The sequence below is a fragment of the Homo sapiens genome, chromosome 2, assembly GCF_000001405.40.
Source record: "Homo sapiens chromosome 2, GRCh38.p14 Primary Assembly".
Lineage (NCBI taxonomy): Eukaryota > Metazoa > Chordata > Mammalia > Primates > Hominidae > Homo > Homo sapiens.
The window spans coordinates 152,512,650-152,532,106 of record NC_000002.12 but is presented as its reverse complement, the minus strand read 5'-3'; the positions used below and the strand labels follow the sequence as shown (position 1 = coordinate 152,532,106).

At 38.0% G+C, this 19,457-nt stretch overlaps 1 protein-coding gene across 13 annotated transcripts in view; it reads right to left on the bottom strand.

Moving 5' to 3' along the window:
* The window catches only part of FMNL2 (formin like 2), a 314,653-nt gene that overhangs the window by 117,720 nt on the left and 177,476 nt on the right, over nucleotides 1-19,457 (bottom strand). For all 13 annotated transcript variants that reach the window (XR_241279.5, XM_011510531.2, XM_011510533.4 and 10 more), the window contains exon 2: nucleotides 10,081-10,164. Coding sequence is in view for 12 of the 13 variants with exons in the window: in XM_011510531.2 (XP_011508833.1) it covers nucleotides 10,081-10,164 (84 nt within the window). In the remaining variant the exon portion in view is untranslated. The remainder of the gene's footprint in view (nucleotides 1-10,080; nucleotides 10,165-19,457) is intronic.

Genomic DNA, 19,457 nt, shown 5'->3' with positions numbered 1-19,457 from the left:
CTTAGTTTTACTATTTCAAAAACATATCATTCATAATTCTATTTAAAGAATTAAAAATTATGGTAATTGCACCACAATTTTTTAGTCAGGCTAAAAATGTACCTCCATACCACAAACCATTAATACGACTTCACTGTCATTTCATATTTGCTTAATTCACTAGCTTGATCCAACTTCTGTACCTCACCCTCACCCCTAAACCACATCCCATTCTCCTAGATATATAAATATTCTCCTTCTAAAACATAAAAACTAAAGCAACATGTGCTAATAACATGAAGACCTACATCTTAAACCCAGGCTCCAGTGATCCCACTGTATGCCTTCCCCTTAGATCTTATATCTTAGGCTGGGTACAGTAGTTCACGCCTGTAATCCCAGCACTCTGGGATCACTTGAGGTCAGGAGTTCAAAAGCAGCCTGGCCAACATGGTGAAACCCTGTCTTTACTAAATATACAAAAATTAGCTGGGCGTGGTGTCAGGCGGCTGTAGTCCCAGCTACTCGGGAGGCAGGAGGCAGGAGAATCACTTGAACCTGGGAGGGGGAGGTTGCAATGATCCGACATCGTGCCACTGTACTCCAGCCTGGGTGACAGACCGACACTCTGTCTCAAGAAAAAAAAAAAGATCTTACATCTTGATTTTACATTTAGCATAATAAACACAAACACCCCTTCAAATTAGCCCCACATTCTTTCTTTTCATCTTCAGATCCCATGATTAAGCAAACAATAGTTTCAATCTGTGACCCACATGGTCAAAATCAATCATTAAGCCAAACTTTCAAATAGGATCTAAGGATAGGCAGAGAAGGAAAGTAGAAAGGAGGTCCCTCTAAATGGGTCATTGCTGAGGACAAAAATATATAAGCACACACCTAACCTGTTAGATGTGCTCATCTTATAGGGTTTTAGACTGACTTGAAGTTATACTCTATCTGAAAATATGGGTACATATATCAATAACTAAGTGGCTGTGGTCCAATTGATTGTGAAGAGAACCAACAGTGGTTTTACCGGTAAGAAACATCTGTATAAGGATATTTCTAGTACCTGAAGATGCTGCTACAAGCCTTGGACTCATCCACAGCTAGTATCCGCCATGTTGACGGAGGATATACACAGTCTCTGCCCTATGTATAGCTGTTTCTTACAAAACCCAAACCATATTTCTAATTAGTTTTCCTCCAGTCTTGCTGTACTCCCAAATACCTACAGTATCATTAGAAATTTAAACCAACTTACCTTGTATTTCTGCTACCTAAATAAATGTTGTTTTACTACTGCAGCAGGGATAAAGACTGTAGACACCTCAATTTCCTCAATGACTTTAGAAAATGACTTCTTTTAAACTCTTTCTTTCCTTGAAAGTTCATCAAGAACACTGTAGGCAACCAGGAAACAGTATGTATCTGGGCTAAGAGCATTCCATTATATATTTAGTCTTTTACAGTTTACTTTTAAGTGTATGTATCTTTTTTCAACCTTGTTTTGAAACATTCAGCATAATATTTTCTGAAGCGTGGTGGTCTTAGCATCTAGCACATCACGCTTCACAAGGTGAAGTTAATTATTTAATTGCTTGATGGTGGAGAAGCTACAATTGTATGGTGGTTTTCTCAAAAAACTTTTTTAAACATAAAATTTTTCAGAATCAGGCATCAGTAGACTTCAGTTTTAGTTTCAGCTCAAGCACTTGCTGTACAACTTCTAGAAAGCCCTTTGACTGTGTGTGTGTGTGTTTGTGTGTGAAAGGTGAGCAACAACAGCCTTCTACAAACAAAGAGTATGAGTTAAATAGTCAAATGTTAAAATGACATAAGGTAGTATCTGTATCACTTGGTAGAAATTCTTAGCTAACCTGCCTTAATAAATCATTTTAATTTGCTTAGCAATGATTTTCTAAAAGATAGTCAAAGATCAACCTCAGTGTCCTCAAGTTTATAAAAGTCATTCATATGATAAACTTTACTTTAAACAAGACAACCACGTAGTCTAAGCCAGCTCAGGCAATTAAGTCATTTTTAAAAGGTGGGGTGGGAGTGGGGGATCTATAATTCCATTTGTATTGCTAGGCAGGAAGGCAGGCACTGTGATATACATTTTGGCAAAATACAGCCTAAAAGTTTCTTTTCTTTTTTTTCCTTCCCCACTTATCTTGCTCCTTCTAAAGCCTAAACATTTCAAACGAGACTAAGCCCTTGATGTCTAGCTCTGGCAACGAATACCAAACAGCATTTCTGACAGAGTATTTCTATCAAGCCACCAAAAAGGATGGTTTTAAAAGGGATAATTGTTTCCTCTCCTCTTTTCACTACCTTTCTCCCTTTTTCTCTCCCCTGACTCCAATCTCTGTAGGGTAGGCCAGCATTTTTCTCTCCCATGTGAAAGCTATAGGCCAAAGGAAACCTCTAGAAGAGGAAAGACGTAATGTAAATTCACTTCTAGGTTCAGACCCAACTTTCCAAAACTCCAAAAGCTCAACATACAAAGAGTTGGCATCTGCTATTTGATTGCTTTTCCAGTGTTTCAGAATCAAAGAATCAGAGACCTGGAGTGAGTCTTAAAGGAAAGGAAACTGCTTTTAGGAAGGAAATGAAAAGAAACTTGACTTCTTTTCAACAGCAATTAATTCAGTGCCTTTTCTCAGGTTTGGAGAGCTCAAGAAAATGAAGAGTCCCTTCGAAATCTCAAGCAGAAAGTAGCAAAGATACAAAATGCCTTTCTTTTTCTTCTGAGGTGTGGGAAAAATAACCTCGTCCCACAGCCAATTCTTGTCTGGTACATTGCTGGAACTCGGGACAAACAAATTGGTACTACCAACCATTTGGAGCCTTTTCCTTGACTTATAAGGAAAACTCAGATCCACACTCCATGTCTCACCTCACTCTTTCCTTTCCCTCACCTATAAAACTAAATGCCTAGTCAATGAATAAATTAATGAATACATAAGGGCAAGTTTTAATACTGAATACAACCTAAAACAAATGAACTATAAGACTATCAAAATTGGTAATCGTGGCAGAGACTAGCAGTCGTTGTTTAACAAACATTTTCTTCTCCCCGTGGGTGCTCAGCTAGTCTCCGTTTCTCATCCTTTTTTGCAGGTCCTTGTCAACAAGTAAGAGTGCAGGTGATATGTGCCAATTCCAGGCCTGGCCCACAGACTTCCCAGGTGTGCATTTGCATGTTCTTTCTCCCTTTGACTGGAAAGAGATGACTCCCAGGGTGAAGGGGAAGCTGTGTGTTGAAAATAGCCTCACCTGGGTCCCTGATTGTGTAGAATTTGACCCCCAATGGCCAACAATATCCAACCTGATTATGTAAATTAAAACCTTACTATGTGAATCATTATACATCTTAGTGTCTGTAGTGGGTTGAATGGTGGCCCCCAAAAGATATGGCCATGTCCTAACCTCCTCCCCCAACCACCAGTGAGTATAACCATTTGTGGAAAAAAGGGTGTTTGCAGATGCCATGAAGTTAAGGATCTCAAGATGTGATCATCTCAGATTATCCATGTAGGCCCTAAATCCAGTAACTGTTCTTATAAAAGACAAGAAAAGACACAGAGACGAGGAGAAGGCCAGGTAAGGATGGAGGCAGAGATTGGATTTACACAGCCACAAGCCAAAGAATGCCCAGAGACACCAGAAGGAAAGAGAGGAAAGGAAGAAATCTCCTTTAGGGCCTTGGGAGGGAACAAGGCCCAGTCAACAGCCTGATTTCAGACTTCTGGTCTCCAGGTCTATGAGAGAACACATTTCTGTTATTGTAAGCCACCAAATGTGCAGTAATTTGTTATGGCAGCCGTAGGACGCTAAGATAGCATCTATTCGTTACCCTATCATTTGGTGCACAGAAAACTACAAAAAACCTTATACTACAGTCAGTAATTTACTTAGTAATGTTTTAGGTAGTAATGATACTCATATTTGTTTTGAAAGTTTTTATATGATAGAAAAAGGTAAATAATTATATTACTGTTAGGAATCAAACATTTCATTGTAAAAGAAAGGTAACTATAAAATCAAAGAGATTAAGAAAATTAATGAAAATTGATTTGAAAATATTGAATCCATAAATTCTGGACCTGTATTTTCAAGGTCTAGAAACTTACACTGAGAAGCAAATTCACTCAGCAGCTATAAAAACCTTTTGCATGCACTTCCTCATCTCTAATACTACCTCCCACTAAAAAGAAAAGGGATCATTGGAGAAATGATTTATCCTGGGCCTGGGCAAAGAAGATACAAGTTAAGATACAAAGAAGATATGTTTCATACCATAAAACAAGCTCTCAAGGATTAAGAGGGTCATGTGAAAAGGACACAAGAACCAGCACCAAGGGATTCCCATAGATCAAAGAAGTGATCATATGAGCCTCAAAAATAATATCACATTGATTGAAACATGATGAACCCATGAAAATTCATGAGTTCGTAGTGATATTCAAAAAAGGAGACCACAGAAAACCCACTGGTCATCTTATGAGGTATCTATTAATCCAAATTCTTACTTAAAAAAATGGCAATTGAGGGGAAAAATTCCAGGAATAATTATATTCCAGGATAAACCAAGTCCCAGTTGAAAGCTCTAGTTACTAGTTTACTGTATTAATAGAAGGAAAGAGAGATTAGAAAATAATCTTTTTCCAGTTTGTAATGAAACTGATTCAACAAAAGATTATCAATTGGTTTCAAACCCATTAGGTACAAGGTTGATAGGTAACTGGACGTATATATGGTGACAAAGTGACACCAAACAGAATTCTCTCCAGCACAAGGGGAAAACAGTTACACAATGGGGCCATCAAGTTGTCACTGGCCAAACTTATTTAATGATGGGACAACCAGACATTATTTTTCTATGATATTCTTCACAAAGATGTTCAACATCAATCTGTAATGACTTCAAGTCTAACTTCTAGTTAACAGGAAACTCAGGAGCTAAGGCACCCCTAGGAAACAGGTAAGTGCAGAAAACAAAACTTTCTACAAGAGGGCTTGCCTACTATATTCACCACATGAGCATCATAAACAAAAGTCTACTCCAGTTTAAAGTAATTTAAGGAATACATGGCCAGATACAATATGTGACTGATCCTGTACCAGATTATCATTTGAGCAAACTAGATAGGAAGAACATCTTAAGGAAAATTGAGAACAATAAACTGGACAACAGGAGATATTAAGAAATTACTATTCGTTTTAATTGTGATGACCTTATTTGAATACAAGAGAAAAATTTTATAAGGTGCATACCGATTTTTTTAAAAAAAAGATGAACTAGAAAACAAATACCAAACAAAAAATCTGACTAATGCACAATCAAAAGAATGAATGTATAGAGGGGGAAGACTGGATATCAAAATGATAAGAGAAAACTAAGGGTCAAAAGACAAAATTTGAAAAGAATTAAACAGATCGCAAAAACCTAATAATTTTAAAATAGCATTTAATCATACCACAGTATTGTAAACTTGATAAAAATATAACCAATTTAACATATTAAGTACAGGAAGCATGTCAGTTAGCCAGAGGATAGAAGGAAGGGAGGAGAAGGAGAGGGAGAAATGGCTGTCTGCTATCCCAACAGCTGGGAGTGAGAAGCCAGAAAGGAGTGAGCATAGCTAAATGTAGAATCAAAGCCTGGAACTTGGGAAACAGGGCTAAAAGGCAGACTAAGTCTGAAGTCTAGGAGCAAAAAGGAGGGAAAGGGCCAGGGAAAGGTTATTGCTGGCATCACCATCTTTTCCTTCAGCTTCTTCACCACTGTCTCTGCTCTTCCTATGCTTGCTCAAATGACTCTAACATAGCAGCCACCAACATCAAAATAGGCTATAAAAATGCCACCACTGTCACTACTCATTTAGCACCCCTGGTGCTCCAAGGACAAGTCCTCCTTACCTGGAATGGCCCACAGGAACTAATTTATCAGGATTCTGTAGTACTTGTTTACTAGGCAGGAAAGAGCTTTAACTGGCTCACAAAAACATGAACACTTTCAAAAAAAATAACCAACACTAAAAACCATGGAGATATATTTGCTCTTTAATGTTTTAGAAAATTTAATTCCAATGGCAAATTGGCTTAAATATTGATGCACGTTCTCCAGTAAAAAACCTGCCCTTCTTTTTTAAAGAAATAGTATTTGACCACAAGTAAAGGGTTTAAAAAAAATTATATTCTTAATGATTAAATACATGTATATGGTATGGGTCAGCTGTGTTGAAAAAGACAAGAGATCACCTCTCACAATGAGAGTAATGAGGCTTCTTAGTGCCACTGGCCTGACTCTGCTCCGGCTGAGTGGCAGCAGAGGGCTTCCCCTTCCCTAGATCAGGACCCATGCCAAGCCTGGAGAGATGCAGTCTGACCTCCCTGAAACGCTTCGCACAGGAAGCTGAGTCTAAGTGGCTACAATTTCCTGCTACCTCTTCACGCTCATCTTTTGTTTTGTTTTTTAATCTGCTTCTCTCCATCGCTTTATATAAGTAAAGAAAGGGGAGATTTTCCATGTCTCACCCTTCCGTTGGGCCCTTGCCCCAAGGCTACTATGCAAAGCAACAGCCAGCTATCAGGAGGCAAGGTCCACTCATGCCAAATCACCACAGAAAATAACCAATCACACCCTCAGCAACAGCAAACACAGAAGGAAGCTTTTATAACCCAGCATAGGGATGGCACCTCTAACAGCTTCTGGACTGGATTATATGTTGGTGGAATCTACACCCATCTGCATTAGTCATCTCCAATGTCCTGAATTCTTTGACTAACCACTTCCACTTGATCATCCAGCAGGGGCACAGTTATGAATCCACAACCTGTAAGTTCTGTAGGCACCCCCTAAATCATTTGAGCAGCCACACACAAAACTTCGGTAAGAAACCCTTACCTACTATAATTTTTGCTTCAATGGCTTGTTTCCAGATCCCTGGTATAACAGGCAACAAATGAAAAAGCTTGTGAGTAGAGTTTGGAAACAGATGTTCTCGTTTCACTATCTGGGTGACCTTGGCATTGGCCTACTCATTTAGGCTCTATGAACCTCAGTTTCATCATCTATAAAATAAGGGGCTTGGGAAACAGATAGGAAAGGCGAAGGGACGCGCACTTCACTCCACATGCTCCTCCACAAGCTTTCTTGGACAAGCATGTGTTAACTTTTTCAATAGAAAAAGTAAAGTCAGAGTGGCTTGGGATAAATGGTCTCTAACAGCCCTTCTAGATATAAATGATCTAAAAGTCTAAATTCATCCAGGATCTCTAAACCCCCTAAACCAGCATTTATCCACAGTACCCACTGTGCTAAGAGTTCTAAACTTACGGGAAATGGCCAAAGCTCCAAAACCAAAACGTGCAGCACAGGGTCTGCACCAAAAACTGAGGCACAAGTGAGATTAAGGGGCTTTCTCTCTTTCCATAAGTGTAAATGCCACTGAAAGAGCTCTTACAGCTAAGTAGCTTCAGGGGTTTTATTTGCAGTTATCAAAGAAACCTGACATTTCTAGCTTTCTACGCTCACACTACAAAATTTGCCTCTGTGTCCCCACAGAGTCCTTAAATTAATAATGTCTTCATGGGAACTCTGTTCACCTACTATAACACAGAAATGGGTACGCTGGGATACACCTCACTGCACCCAAAATCCAGCACAGATGTCTCTGTTCCGTGGCTTCCGTAGCCCCACTCCCTCCAGAATTAGTTAGACACGTCTCCCATGTTACTTTCACCTTTGAGACCCACTAGAAGCTCAGGTCATCTTTGTATTTATGCAATGAGTCAGGAAAGGACCAAGAGGCATTTCTGCAATATTGTTACTATAGAAAGCTCTTTGGGATTTAATCTTAATTTGGTTAAATTTGGGACAGAATTTCTGGAATTTATTCTCTATTCCTATCAGCATCTGTCATATTAAGAAATATTTATCTTCAACATGAATGTATTTAGTACCACTGAATTATTACATTTAAAAATGTTATCCTTCTCTCTTTAAAGTAATTCCTAAAAATGAGCAGTGAATTGCTTTCCTTTACCAAAAGCAAACCACACTGACAGGTAGAGGAAGGTGAGAAGGATATGGAAACAGCAAACTTCTGCTTAGTCTTCCAGGCCACCTCTTTCAACTGCTTTTTCCCTTCTGCCCTCTCTGCCAATAATGCAAGCTTCCTCTCCACTGTCTTCCATATTAGCCATTATTTCTTTCATTCAACATGTTTTCAATAAGCACGTTTCAAGCACTAAGCAAGTTGTTAGAGGCCCATATCCTAAAGGAACTTACTCTTGAGGGAGACACACTTAAATAAATACTTACAAAACAAAGTGATAGACTAATGCAATCATACAGAAGTATGAAAAAATGGATGCCCCAAATTAAATAATGAACGGCCACTTCATGATAAAGTCAAGTCATGAGAAAGCATTTATTGTGACACTCCATATTTGCTTCCTTAGAGAGAAGCAGAACAGATTCAATGCACTAATTTGTACAATGCCTATAGCATAGAGAACATTTCAGTTTAGTTATCAATGCAAGAATAATCTTTGTTCACCAGTAATGCTGATATATTTAAATATATCTTGTTCAAAATGATAATTTACAAAAGTTTACAACTTCATGTAAGTTTTTTTCAGTGAGGATATCAGTGTGGAGGGAAAATGCAGGCAGGAATAATGAGATGAAGCCATGGATGAGGTTGGTAAAACACATGTCATTGAAGTACTGTGTAGTTGGTATAAATGGTCTCTTATAAGCATTTATACCAAATTTGTGGCTCAGGCCACAAATCTGTCTCTGAGCATCTTAGCAGCCAAGGAAAACAATGACCAGTTCCATGATTCACCATGTCCATATGGTAATTTTTCATGAAACTGAAACCTGAAATAATTTCTCCATAAGTCCTCACACTCTTATTTATATAGTTTCTTTTGGAAATCAATTTCTTTAACATTATCTATCACTTTGTGTACCTTTCCTGTTAACATGTATCCTAAATAACATATACTATATCCATGCTATATGCTTAAGTAAAATTAATATTTGTATCCAAGAAGTAAAATTAATATTTGTATTAATATTTGCGTGCACACGGCATTGGGGCCCGGGGGTGTCCTGTATGTTGGATATCAACACCACCCCACAGTCATAATTTTAAGGCTTCACAAATAAGGTTGGTAGTAATATTTTTAGACTGGAAATCTATAGCTGAGGCTTTTTCTGACAGCATCATATAACAGCTATTCAAACCATAAAGTATGTTTGGATAACAGATAATGATATATTTGTCTATTAGTCTGTTTTTGCACTGCTGATAAAGACATACCTGAGACTGGGCAATTTTCAAAGGAAAGATATTTAATGGAGAACTCACAGTTCCATGTGGCTGGGGAAGCCTCACAATCATGGCGGAAGGTGAAAGGCATGTCTCATATGGAGGCAGAAAAGAGCAAAGAGTTTGTGCAGGGAAACGCCCCCTTATGATAACCATCAGATCTCATGAGACTTACTCACTACCACAAGAACAGCATAGGAAAGACCTGCCCCCATAATTCAATTACCTCCCACCGGGTTCCTCTCATAACATGTGGGAATTCAAGATGAGATTTGAGTGGGGACACAGCCAAACCATATCAACTTGATATAACTTTCTCTGAATCTTTTAAGGACAAGTTGAAAATAAAAACAGTAACAGTCACAATATTTAATATCTGGGCCCTTCAGCAGCAACAGAGGCAGCCACACAAGTTTAGAGGCACCTACTATGTGCCCAGTATTATTCTATGTACTTTACGATCAAACAAAATCAACAATAATTTCTTGGAAGCATCTCAGTCACTAATCAAATATTCCCAATTTTCTCAAGAAGTCTTTTTAATAATTAGCTTGTTCAAACTGGGATCCAAAGAAGATCCACACAAACATATTGTTATTTCTCTGAAGTTCTCTTCTTTTTTCCTATCTCTGTCGCAGAAGCAAATATCTTGTTTTTCAATCATGATATTGACATACCATAAAATTCACACTGGATCTCTTCTTTCATTACTTTTTTCATAAAAGAAAGTGTCACTGTTTCTTACCTGATCACAAATCAGTTCCCATTTTTTCTCATTATCATACTGCCGCAGTAACCTGGCTTTGTCAGGAGGTAGGTTCATAGCATTCTGTTTAAAAAAAATAAAGAGAGAAAAGATGTCACATTCCACAGCAGGCTTCCAAATTGGTAACTTGCAGGCAGACCAAATAATACCACTATGGTTTTTTCATGACTTTCTCTCAATTCCTAGTATCTGATTAAACCAAAACACCCACAGAAGTCACTTAAACATCAAATCGGTTAGATGAGAGGCGGGAAATTCTGAAGTTCTATGGTGGGACATGTGAGATGATCTGCTTTGAACAATCAGACTTGCATTTTAGCAAAGGTGATGCCTTGTCGCTTTGGCAGACTCCCTTTCTACTCAACAAAAAGGTCACAAGGTATCCAATTTCTTTGTAAAGCACTGTAGCCCCACCAGACACAAAACAGAAAACACCAAAAGAGAACACAATGATCAGAATCACTGATAGATTCAAATTATACTCACTTTGATAAACAACTATGAGGAAAAGAATTAAAAAAAAAAAAGACAACAATGCAACTATTTTTTGTCCCCTCTGTGAGATGACAGTATTCCTTGAGGACATATGTTAACATTTATGTCAACATTAATAACCACAATTCTCAGTTGAGCTATATTGGTTTATGAAGGTGAGTTTGCAGTAGGAAATTAATCATGAGGCAAAAGAGATGTCCAGACATCAGCACTCGTATAAACCCTCCTCTTAACACAGCACACCTTCTGTAGTGCTGGTCATGGATTTTTTCCCAGGTACTTTCACATGTCATGAATCTAATGTCCCAAATGACCAATCATACACATTTTTAAGATACTAGGTTTGGATGCAAAGTGAGGTCTTTGGCAAAAGACCATGGCAGAGTAAGAGAGCCTCAGAAAGAATTCAGATCTATTCTTTTGGCCTCCCCAAAGTTCTCATGTGCTAAACAACTGAGCTAAGTAGTCAATTAAAGTATTATACCTATTTATCATCCTGTCTATCCCCTGGCATCAGCACTCTAAGTCACACCTATTCCTAAATAAACAATGTAGTCCCTTATCTGGGTCAATATTCAAGCAGACAAATGCAAAGGTCTTGAACTTTTAATACTCAAGCTCCTAGCTCTCTGAAGGACTTGGCTTAGGGAGAAACAATTCCCCTGGTCATGGTTATTGTCTTGTGTTATAGGGTGAAACAAGTTTAACAGAGGCAAAGGTGAGTATGCTGTCCTGACTTAATGATAGAAAATCAACCACTGATTATGATAAATTAAACCAAGCATTTTCCCTTAAACTCAATCTAACATCTAGATTGGTATGCCTTAAGTATATCTGCCACCTATTTGAGTCTAATCCATCAGATTTTACAATAACCTGTCTTTAAAATATTTAATTTAATTTTTTTTTTTTTTTGAGATGGGGTTTCACTCCTGTTGCCCAGGCTGTAGTACAATAGCACGATCTCGGCTCACTGCAACCTCCGCTTCCTGGGTTCAAGCAATTGTCCTGCCTCAGCCTCCTAAGTAGCTGGGATTACAGGAGCTTGCCACCATGTCTGGCTAATTTTTGTATTCTTAATAGAGACGGGGTTTCACCATGTTGGCCAGGCTGGTCTTGAACTCCTGACCCCTGGATGATCCGCCCGCCTCGGCCTCCCAAAGTGCGGGGATTACAGGCGTGAGCCACCATGCCTGGCCTAAAATATTTAATATTTTAATCACCCCCCCTCAAAGCTGACAATTACTTTGAAGAGCTTTGGACTTTATAAAGAGTTTTCAATGGTACTGCCAAAGCTTCTTAGATATAGAAACATCTAATATGGGAAAATGTTTTCATATGGCCTGTCTTCATGGAATATCTACTTGAACTACAATGGAAAAAGTCTATTTGTAATTATTAGTTATTACAATTTGACAATGTTAAAAAAAAACTCCTGGGATAAGGCAAAGGAGAATTTCATGTGTATCTTTCTGAGGAAGTCTAATGTTATTTACTGGTAAATGGTCAGTCCATCATTGCTTATTTGCACTCCAGAGAAGGAGGTTTTCCTCTTAAACTGGTGTTGACCTTCATGTTAGCACCCCAGCTATAATTATGCATTAAGTAAGAACAATAAGATTATAAATTAAATGAGTTCTTTTCCTCTTGAGTCCTCACTAATCTCGAGATATAAAGGGAATAAGAAAAAGAATGCCTGAACTCCTACAAGGTGCCAAGTACTCCATTCAACACTTTGCATATGTAATCTCAGTTAATACTCATAATAAGCATGTGGGATAGACATAATCTTCTCCATTTAACATAGGGAAATAGACCCGGGAGAATTTGGTTAACTTGCTCAAGGTTGCACAGCTTTACAGGAACAAAGACAGGACCTAAACTTAGTCTGTTAGGCTCCCAAGGATAAATTCTGAATATGCCACCAAGCTTTTTTTGCAGGAGAGCAAAACGGCAATAGCTTATGACCTTCTATTAGTACTCTACTAGACATTCCCGTGGAAGCACTTGGCAAACATCGCCACAGGAATTACACACAGGCTCTGTCGTTTTCTGCAAAGAGAAAGGCAAGATGCCCCTTCCAGACTAACTCTTATTTTGATTAAAGAGTCTTTCGTTCAACAAATGTTTATGGAGCACTGCCCCTGTACAAGCCCTGTGCAACATGCTGGGTGGCACGGTGGGAATCCAAACAGACGCGATGCCCAGAGAGCACTGTGTTATGGTGGGGAGACACATATGAAACAAACAAAGCTTTTTAAACTCTGGTAAGGCTTGAGAAAGGTTATCAGAGGGTAGTCTTAGATTAGACAGTCTGGAAAAACCTCTCAGGAAAAAGTAACAAATGAGTCCCAATAAATGAGAAGGATTGGCCAGGCAGAGGGCGGACGAAAGCACACTGGGCACAGTGAACAAGGGAAGCCTCAAAGGCAGGAATTAGCTTTCCACATTTAAGGAGCTGAAAAAAGTCAGAACAGCCAGAGAGAAAGTAAAAGAGAAGGAATGAGAAAAAGATGAAGTTGGAAATGTGAGTCAAAGCCATATCATGCCTAGACATGCAGACCAGGGTCAATATATTTTATCTGAAGTGCCACGGGAAGCCATTGAAGGCTTTTAAGCAGATAAATAACATAATGACGTTGTTTTTCAAAGATAACAATAGGTGCTATGAGGAGAACAGATTAGAAACAGCAAAAGCAGAGAGCCAGTAGGAGGCCAGGACTAAGCAGTTCAAGTGAATGATGGCAGCTTAGATGGGGTCGATGGCACGTTGAATGAAGAAAGGTGGACAAATGTCAGAAATATTAAGTGAAACTGACTGGTTAGACTTAAGGGCTGGGGAGGATTTGTACCTTGTTTCCAGCTTGAGTCACTAAGTGAATGGGGTACAGTTAATAAGAGGGGCACGTAACAAAAGGCAAAATAAATCTGGAGGAGTTGGTGAAGAATAAGATTTATAAATGACCCTGTTTAGGCCTGAGATAGCTATGAGATAACCAAGAGAGCACTCAAGTGGGCAGGTAGATACATGATTCTGGAGGTCAAAAGAAAGGTCTGAATCTCTGAACAAGAAGAGACTTAAGAAGTCTTTTTGAGCATGATTAGTTATTGTCAGAAGTAGCAGTGCAACATCAATACATCCAAACTAAAGCTCCACTGGGTAATCATTCACCAAGCATCTAAAATAACCCCTTCCATGAGCCAAGCCTCTGAGCTACTCAGACATACATTGTACAGCTTAATAATTCCATAAGGACCATGAGGAAGCAGTTCTATTTAAAATCAGACACTCTACAGAGGTCTGGTTAAAGTTCAGGGATGTTGTGATTAGCTGGTAATAACTGCCTTTAAACTTCTTTCGAGTGAACTCATTCCTCTTGTGCTGTTCAGGGCAAGACTCTGGAGTCCAAGCTAAATGTTTGAGCAGGTAATTCATGAGTCCAAGTTACTGTGTGAGGAAAATATTGGCTCTATCTCCAGGTCCCTTTGCTGCCTTTATAAAAATGGACTGCTCATCTATTTGGCTGAAAATATCAATCAATTTCCGAGTCTTCCTAACACGGTGACAACTCTACCTCACCCACTCTTAGTGACATCTGTGACATAGGGCTCTCCTTTCATTCTTTTCATCCATTGTTCCATCCAACATATTTCCTGGGCTTTAACCATATACCAGAATGTCCGCACTGTAGGCATCTGAGACAACTTAATCACCAAGTAACTGCCTGCAAGTATCGCCAAAGGTCGATGGAAGACATATGATATTTGAATTGAAAAGTTCAGTGGATGTTAATTATTGTTTTTCTAGATTGTACAAGTTCCTAGCTAAAATAAATTAGATCATCCAAGAGTATTATTTCTGTAAAATTGTTCCTTTCTTTCCACTCTCAACCTGGCAAACTGTAAGAATCAATTCAAATGTCATTTATCATTAGAACCTTCCCCCCACTACTCCAGGAAGACATACCCTCTCATTGGGCTCTAACAGCACTGTTTACATGTCTCTAATATAACACCTAGTACACTGTACCCTAACAATCTGTATGCTTACCTAAATTTCCCACTGGACTGAGTGCTTCAAGAACAATTTTTGATGTTCTTCTTAACCATCAACGTATGGCACAGTATGGCAAACGGTAGGCATTAAGCAGGTTGTTGAATACTGAAGAGCAAACAAAATCAGCCATACTGCCCAGCCTGCAAATATCCTTAATGAATTAGGATTTATATTATAGCTATTAACAATGTCTACACACTGAACAGTATTTCAGTTTCTTGTAAAACATCATTCCATGATAATATCTGTTGCTTATTATTTTCCAAAAAAAACTCACGGGGGAAAAAAATCTTCAATTCTAGCAATATTTTCCTGAAAAGAAAAATGAGCGTCTTCTGCCACATACAATAAACCATGAAACCATGAATCTGAACTTTGTTTCAGTGCCAGTTAATTCAGATTGGTATCTATTCCAAGTGGTAGTTACATGTATGGTCTCTACTTTGGTTTTTATCCATAATTGTACAATCTTAATTTGCTTTTAAATGTGTTTTCCATCTCAGAACCTTTTGAAAATAGAAATTATAACTAGAAAATAAAGAAAAATAGAATATCCCAAAATTCCTGAGTACTTTATAAAGAAAGTAATTATGGTGAAGAAGAATCTATGGTAGCCTATACATCTCAAGTTATACCCACAGATTATCATACACAACACAGAACAGAATGATGGTGCCCAAATCATTCACAACCAAATAGACCTATGTGGTAGCAAAACAGAGTTTTCTGATATCAGCTCCTGACCTGGTTTCATGGTATTAATGCAAACTTGTAAAATCCTTCTTTTACCCAAATATTCTCAAGGCTCATACTTAGAAACCCACAGTGATATGGAGACACACAGGAGGGAAATTGAACAGTATGAAATACACCTTATGTAATATATCTTTGTCCTTGTAATCTCTAAATTAAAACTCACAAGCATTCAGTCACCAGATTTTATAACAGGAACTCTTCTACTATATAACCACTTGCTTAGAGAGAAAAAACATGGACTTTGCAAGTAGTGCTTCTTATGGAAGCAGGGAAAATCATGTCACAAAAGAAATGGCTTAGACAATCTTTTAGAGCTCTTAAATAATAGAGATACAGAGGTTTACAGGAACTCAAAAGAAGGAGTCATTACTTTAAAAAATTTTTCAGTTATGGTAGAAAACATAATATAAAATTTACCTCATAACCATTTTTAAGTTTATACTTTAAGTAGTGTTTATAACTATATTAATATTATTGTGCAACGGATCTCTAGAACTTTTCCATTTTGCAAAACAAACTCTGTACCCATCAAACAACAACTCCCCATGTTCCCTTCCCCGGAGCCATTACTTGTCGCTACAAAAAAGGAAATGGGATGGATTTCAACTGGATGGCTGGGTAGCACAATGAATTCTAATGAGACGGTGCAAGCAAGGATTTACTCATTTATTAGTTTTTGCTAGTTGGGCTCTGGAATTAGACTAGCTAGATTCTAATCCTGACTCTACTAATTACGGGTGATCTTAAACCACACTATTTGAATCCTAAAGCAAATGAAATTAGTAAACACCCCACAGTCGAAAAAGCCAGTAAATGTAATTCAAAACTGAAGAATCGAAATCAAGGGTCAAAAACAACAAGATGTACCATTTATTGACGGACTGGTATGTCTCAGGCACTTAGGCTCTTTGCATGCATTATCCAATTTAGTCTGTCTTATAATCCTGACAAGTAGTTATTATCTTTTCTATTTAACAGAGAAGGAAATCGGAGGACAAGGAGGTTAAGTAATTCCTCCATGCATGAGGTAGGTGGCAAAGCCAGGACTCAGAATAGAGGTCTGTATGATCATCCCCCTTCCATGACATTTAAACTACAATGTTTCTAAAATATGACTTATTTGAACTAAGCAATCTCACAATTCCACTTAAATAACCAGACACAGTCATTAGCACGAAAAGTGAAGGTGGAAATGCATGATATTAATATTTTCATATAAGATACTGGCATTTTAATTGAAGTATTTTAAGATGTTGAAAAATATAAACTGGAGCCAAAAAACTGACTGGGCTGAATACAGATAGCAAGGTACAGTGTCAAATCAATATATACTTAATAAACTCTGCCAAATAACAAATCAAGGTGAGGATACAAATACATGGTAAACTCAGGCTTTGACAAGGCATCAATGAAGCAGAAGGAAAGAAGATGAATACACAAATATAAAACGGAGCATGTCAAATAATCCGACAGAACCTCAGAGAAGGAGCCATTACTTTTTGCTACGGAAAGTAGAAAATACTATGCATTGAGCCTGGATGTGTGGGGAGGATGGTAAAGAATGGCATTAAATGACACAATATGGTTTCTAATGTGTGGGCTTTGGAGATGGGCCACCTGGGCTGCAATCATGACTACCACTCATTTAGAGTGTCATCTCAGCTAAGTTATTTATACTAAATCTCAGCTTCCTCACTTGTGACATGGAAATGATCACCATGGTAGTGATAAGCATCATGAGGGTGATGAGGATGGTGGTAATGTTACTACCTGCATCATAGAGTTTGGGCAAAATTAAATTCGATAATGTATGTACAGTAGCCTCACCCACATCTATGATTTTGCTTTCTGTTATTTCGCTATTTCAGTTCCCTGAGTTCAACCATGGCCCCAAAATAGGTTCGTGGAGAACAATAAGATATTTTGTGAGAGAGAGAGAGAACACATTCACATAAACTTTTATTATAGTATATTGTTACAATAGTTCTATTTTATGATTACTTATTGCTAATTTCTCACTGTGCCCAATTTATAAATTAAACTTTATCATAGGTATGTATATGTAGGAAAAACAATAGTATATATTAGTTTCAGTACTATTTAAGGTTCCAGATATCCACTGAGGGTCTTGACAAGTATCCCCCACGGATATGGGAGGATTACTATAAAATAGTACAAAAGTAAGTACACGGAAAGTACTCAGTATGTTAAATGATATTATTCATATTATCCTCATTATTTTAGGTAAAAGGAAAGATATGAACAAAGGCATGAACACAGGAGAAGGCAAAGAGCTGTGCATCACACAGAATAAACCAGGAGGTAAGGAGTGGGTAGCGTGAGACCAAGTTCATGTGGACATCAAACCAGATAATTTCAAACTTACTCTATGGCAGTGAGAAGTCATCGGCCAAAGAAATATCTAGGAAAAGTCTTCAAGGGGTCTTCAAATCAAATGAGGTAAATGATTCCTCCTGCTCTGTTAACTCTTCCTACATTGACATTTTTCCTTATACCATTATTGGGACATCAAATTAAGTCACTTGGAACTGAGTAATGTACCAATTCTCCTGAGTTCACTTGAAAATTACAACAGCTGAGGGCCTCAGCAGGGTGGCTGCAAATTCAGCACATGGCCTGCCCATCAATTCCCCTCACCTAAAATCCATTTCCTTCCATGACCTATATTCATGGTCCAAACAACTACCTGGCATCCTAAATTTTATTATCTTCCTAGCCTAGAGGATGCTGCTAAAATCTATTCAGCTTCTTTCCTGGCACAGGTCTCAGGCAGCCAGCCAAATAGTTCCCCAAAGTGAATCACCAGTCAGTCATTTTTCATTGTCACTGTTATTTTTATTGAATCATTGAGGGTACTAATATCACCGCCGTAGCCAGTGAAGCTCACAAAGGGAGAAATTAGGCTCTCCCTAATCTAGTAACATCTTGGAAATAAAAGCTGACTAGAAAGCTGTCCTTTCTGGGGAAACTGTGGTAATGAGACATACCTCTAATCTCTCAATCACAATCTTAGGTACAGTCTATTTTCTTAGAAGGCTTGCTTTCTTATGACTCCTCCATAACTTTTTTATAATCAAAAAGTACAGAGCTACAAGAGAAGCTTGTGATACATTCATTCTGTTCTGTCTTTTATAGGTGACCAAAACAGACTAAAAAGGTGAAAGCATTTGTCCAAGTTCACAGAACTGGTTATTACCAATGGTAGAGCAAAGACTTCAGGCTCAGGGGGACATGAAGAGATGTTGGTCAAGTTTCAGTTAGGCAGGATGAATAAATTCTGAAGATCTAATGTACAGCATGGTGACTCTAGTTAACAATACTGTATTGTATAGTTAACATTCGCTAAGAGGGTAAATCTTAAGTCCTCACCACACACACTAAAAAAGGAGGAAACGGTAACTTGAGAGATGATGGATATATTAATTAGTCTGACTCTCGTGATCATGTCTCTAGGTGGTTATCATTTCTCTGTGGTGTTCACACAACGATGAAATTGCCTAATGATGTATTTCTCAGAACCTGTCTCCATTGTTAAGCAACACAAAACTGTATATCAATACATCAGGTTATGCAGTTTAAAATATACCATTTTTCTGTATCCATTATATCTCAATGAAGCTGTTAAAGAGAACTCAGGCCAACATGTCTCTTATTATTTCTCTTTTAACATGAAAGAAGGATCACTTACATATGTTGGAGGGTGTTTGTGCACGTGTGTGAATACACATACAGAAGTTTCAGAAGATCAAATCAGATAACGCATGTAAAGTAGTTGGAACACTTGAAATTTGCTACTTTAATGCACCTCCATCTTTTCCTGACTATAGTTTTCTTAGAACAGAAGTGCCAGCACTTGCCACTGTCTTCATTCCTCCTTGATTTTGGGCTCCATCCACATAAAACAACCCATTTTGTTAATTTATGAACCTCTAGAAAATTATCCATTTTTTAAACCAGTGAACACAACCTAACAGACAAAAATGAATTCCCTAAATCTCATGTGAATTATCTACTGTTTTAAAGTAGT